Source organism: Homo sapiens, chromosome 2 (genome assembly GCF_000001405.40).
Source record: "Homo sapiens chromosome 2, GRCh38.p14 Primary Assembly".
Lineage (NCBI taxonomy): Eukaryota > Metazoa > Chordata > Mammalia > Primates > Hominidae > Homo > Homo sapiens.
This window is the reverse complement of record NC_000002.12, coordinates 128,232,811-128,237,219: the sequence shown is the minus strand read 5'-3', so window position 1 is coordinate 128,237,219 and position 4,409 is coordinate 128,232,811. Positions and strand designations below refer to the sequence as shown.

Here is a 4,409-nt window from a genome sequence, read left to right as displayed (position 1 = left end):
ACTATGTCACATCTTATTTTCACCAATAACTTTTTTTATTAGATAACTGGGGAAAGCTGACATTTGTTGAGCAATAGTTCTTGTTCAACCTCCTCATTATATCTGGGATTGGGTTAAAAAAATATATAGATGAATCAACTATGGCAAAAGTTAGGTGCTGAATCTAGGTTGTGGGTGTATGGATGTTCAACTATTTTCTCAACTTTTCTCCATGTCAGAAAATTGTCAGGATAAGAAGTTGGGAAAAAATGCTGGACCTGCATTTTTACTTAAACACAGCACTGACCAGCAGTGGCAGAACATGAATCACCAGCTTGAATCACAAAACCCACAGCTTCATTTTAATTTATGTATCTACATATTTCTTTGTACAGAGCAGTGCGTAAGAGTCGAGGATCGGCCAACTGTGGCTTGTCCAAGCTGGACAGCCCTGCCACTGTGCTCCATGGCCACAGATGGCCAGCCCTTGACAGAATGGCTGCCTGCTCCTTGGACCCCACACAGCTGGCAAACCAGCCCTCAGCACTAGGGCAGCCTGGCCCCAGGCCCTCTCCCCAGACACCGGCCTCCCTGTTAGGTAGAATTGCTCCACCTCACTCCATCTCCCTGGCTGCGGCTGCCCCGCCCCACTCGCGAGCAGCCACCTCACACTCACCCCCTGAGCTTCTTGGCCATCTGAGCTGAGTTCAGGATGACCACATGGGGCCAACTGTAACAGAGCATTTTGATTTGTGTTTCTTCCTGAGTAAATGAATTAATCAACCAACCCGAGTCTACCCTCAAAGTACATCCAGGAGCCCCTTCTCACCCCATCTTCACCACCCTTGTCCCCCAAGATCACAGCAAGATCACACCCACCCCGGTCTTCTGGCTTCCCTCTTGGCCCCTCTGTGTGACCCCCACACAGCAGCCAGAGTGCCCCTCTTAAAACTGAGCCAGGCCTAGGTGCAGTGGCTCACGCCTGTAATCCCAGCACTTTGGGAGGCTGAGGCGAGTGAATCACCTGAGGTCGGGAGTTCGAGACCAACCTGACCGACATGAAGAAACCCTGTATCTACTAAAAATACAAAATTAGCTGGGCGTGGTGGTGCACGGCTACTCAGGAGGCTAGGGCAGGAGAATCACTTGAACCCAGGAGGCGCAGATTGCACCGAGCCGAGATCGTGCCATTGTACTCCAGCCTAGGAAACAAGAGTGAAACTCTGTCTCAAAAAAAAAAAAAAAAAACTGAGCCAAGCCAGGTTATTTCTTTGCTCAAGCTCCCCAGCGCCTCTCCATGTCTCTCAAAGAAAAAGTCAAAGTCTTAACCATGGCTCCAAGGCTACGTCAGGGGTCAGCAAACTAAAGCCCACAGCCACACGCATTCAATTGCCCTATCTATGGCTACTATCTGTCTACCACGGTTCACCTGCGGCTGCCCAGCACTGCCACGAAGACATCAAGTAGCCCCATGAAGAAGCCAGCAGTTAACACCACACTGCCAGCTGTGTGAGGCTCCACCTTGGAACGGGGGTCCCCAGCACAGGTAAGCCTTTGGATGGCATCTGACTCCAAGTGGAAACTCCAGCTGAACTTTTCCCCAGCGCCTGACCCACAGACTCCATGGCCATCATACATTTATTTTGAAAGAAAAATAATGGTTTTTTTCTCATGCCACTATGTCTTGCCACAGAACTGTGTGTAATCTCCCTCTGTCATAAACATATCTGTATACACATTGAAGTGTGTATATGTGCGCATATATATGTGTGTATGTGTGTAACACCTTATAGAAATAGATAAGCAAGAACTTTGCTTTAATTTACTTTAATTAGTCTTCATTTCTTTCTTTTCTTGGCTGTATACTCCCCTTTCCTCTCCCATCTCTGTCTTACCACCCAGATACCCTGTCAATAACCTAATTTGTATTCCATCTATTCTCCGTATTTTCCTTTATCCTTACATATAATAATCAAGCACACGTGTGCATATTGATGCGTATATACCTCTACACATATGCATACATAGAGGTATTCAGTTAATTCATTGCACAGTGGCATCTTGTTTCACACATTTTTCTGTATCATGATTTTCTCAGTCAATGATGCCTTGTAGAAATCCCTGTGAAATCTACTGCTCACAGCCTCACTGGATCCTTTTTGTGGCTGCACAATATTCCATGCTGTAAGGGACTGCAATTTACTCACCCAGCCCTGGGTGACAAACAGTCACTTTGTTACCAATTTGGGGCCCCATGGTAAAGTCCCTGTACACAGCCTCACTCACTTGTGCTTTATTTCTACGTCTGGTTGCCCAGAGTGGGGCTGCTGGCCCGAAGACAGAGGCATGTTAAATTTCAACAGATGCTGCCCTGCTGCTTTCCACATGGCCTGATGTCTGGCCCTGGGAAGACCTGAGCTTTTTCGTGCTGTGGACACAGGGCCTTCCAGCTGTGCCAGGCTATCACCGGCCTCATGGAGTCCCCACACAATCAACACAGCTCAGTGTGAAGCCTTCAGCAAATCCATGTCCTGTTGTTTCTCCAATTTTTCTCAGGCCCAAGTACACTTCACAGGCTGGTCAACACCACGTGGGTATAGACAAAATGCACACCTGAATTCCTCTTTTTTTTTTTTTTTTTTTTTTTTTAGAGACGGAGTCTCACTCTATTTGCCCAGGCTGGAGGGCAATGGCGCGATCTCAGCTCACTGCCACTTATGCCTCCTGGGTTCCAGCAATTCTCCCACCACAGCCTACCAAGTAGCTGGGATTACAGGCACCTGCCATCATGCCTGGCTAATTTTTGTATTTTTGTAGAGACAGGGTTTCACCATGTTGGCCAGGCTGGTCTTGAACTCCTGACCTCAGGTGATCTGCCCGCATTGGCCTCCCAAAGTGCTGAGATTACAGGGGTGAGTTCACATCCCGCCTGAATTCTTCTTTTGAGTTTTGCTTTCAGAAAAGAAATGCTGCCCATCAGGGTTCAGCAGGGCAAAGGTAGCTTAGACATCCACCCCTTCCAGTTCCTGCCTGACATCAGGCCCCTCTGGTGTCCCGCCTGACCAAAGGGAACTGCCAAAATGCACCTGTGGCCACCCTCCTGAGGAAGATGTTAATGTTTAAATTTGGGAACCTCCAGTTCCCAACTTCAGTTCATGGAGCCCTCCGTGTCTTCGAAAATTTGCAGGGCCTCCTAGGCGCAGGCAACACCTGGCAGGTGCATTTATTAAGTAGTTAGGTCCAAGCCACCCAACAAGCACGTATATGCTAATTACTCAGCTGGCGTTTGAGAAAGTGATACACGTAAGTAGAAAAGAGAATAGTTTTTCTTTAATTCTTAAATACCTGCAATTCCTTTGTAACAGGATGTTGGACACTGCACAGCTTCTCAAACCCACCCACCTGGTGCCTGTGCCACGGTGATTTCCACGTGGTACTGAGCCCACCTTTGCACAGGGAGGAAGGAGGACGAGGAAGGACTGGCTGCAGCGTCGCCGGCCTGGTGACTTCAGGGGAGCCAGCGGTCCCCACCGCGGCCAGCAGAGGGCTCCGCGCTGCCCTCCAAACAGAACCCCTCGCGCAGCCGCGCCACCCCGCCCGACCGGAGGAAACCTGTCCTCTCTCCTCGCCACCCAGTCCCCGGGCCCTGTCACCCGAACCCCGAGGCCGGCAGGAATTTAGAAAGGGGGCTGGAGGCCGGTAGCCGAGGCGGGTTCTGTGCCGAAGAAGGAGCCTGGCTGTGGGGTCGCCCCCGGCGGAGACGCGGGCGCCGAGATCCGAGCCCCAGGGACCCCATGGCACTCCCGAGACCGTCCCCGGAAAGGTCGCGCGGCCGTCGCCGCCGGGAGAGCGAAGGGCAGGGCGGGCAGGGAACCTGGCCCTGTGTGCGAGTGGGGACATCGTCTATTGGTCTTCTTTTTCTGCACCTTTCCCATCTTCTAAACGGGGCGGCCCTCCCGAGAACGGCCTCCTAAGGCAGTGGGGCTTCCAGCGTCCCGCTGTGCTCCCCGGGAGGGTTGGAGGCTGCAGAGGCTGACGCGGGGCAGGGCGGCCCCTCAGGGAACCCAATGCTGGCGAGGAAGCGGGCGCTCGGGCCGCGCCGCCGGGCTCGGCCTTCCTCGTCCCCAAGCTCGCCTGGAAGGGAAGAGCAGGGAGGTAGAGCGCAAGGTGACTCCGCCACAGCCGCCGCCGCGCTCCCGCCTCGGCCCGCGGTGGTCGCGCGGGTGACCGGGCGCAGCCCCTTGGGCCTCCTCTCCCCTGCACAACCAAGCCGGCCCCCCAGCCTCACGCGGGAGGAGAGAGGCGCACTTGTGGGGTGCAAGACTCCCCAGGCAGCAACATGAGAGTGCGCCCCAGAAACTTCCACCAGCACCAGGGAGAGTCCGGACGGCCGCAGCTAGGAGTTCTTAAACGAGGCGAAGAGACCAGAA

The 4,409-nt window shown here is 52.8% G+C and overlaps 4 annotated features.

Annotated features, from left to right (window-relative positions):
* Positions 1-543: an enhancer, noted in NCBI's record as "H3K4me1 hESC enhancer chr2:128994251-128994793 (GRCh37/hg19 assembly coordinates)". NCBI's record gives its function as "activates a minimal SCP1, AML or CMV promoter by ChIP-STARR-seq in naive and primed H9 embryonic stem cells {active_cell/tissue: H9 hESC(naive and primed)}" and the evidence as "EXISTENCE:reporter gene assay evidence [ECO:0000049][PMID:30033119]".
* Positions 3,344-3,433: an enhancer, noted in NCBI's record as "active region_16510". NCBI's record gives its function as "activates an Ori minimal core promoter by ATAC-STARR-seq in GM12878 lymphoblastoid cells {active_cell/tissue: GM12878}" and the evidence as "EXISTENCE:reporter gene assay evidence [ECO:0000049][PMID:35858748]".
* Positions 3,474-3,663: a silencer, noted in NCBI's record as "silent region_11947". NCBI's record gives its function as "represses an Ori minimal core promoter by ATAC-STARR-seq in GM12878 lymphoblastoid cells {active_cell/tissue: GM12878}" and the evidence as "EXISTENCE:reporter gene assay evidence [ECO:0000049][PMID:35858748]".
* Positions 3,984-4,183: a silencer, noted in NCBI's record as "silent region_11946". NCBI's record gives its function as "represses an Ori minimal core promoter by ATAC-STARR-seq in GM12878 lymphoblastoid cells {active_cell/tissue: GM12878}" and the evidence as "EXISTENCE:reporter gene assay evidence [ECO:0000049][PMID:35858748]".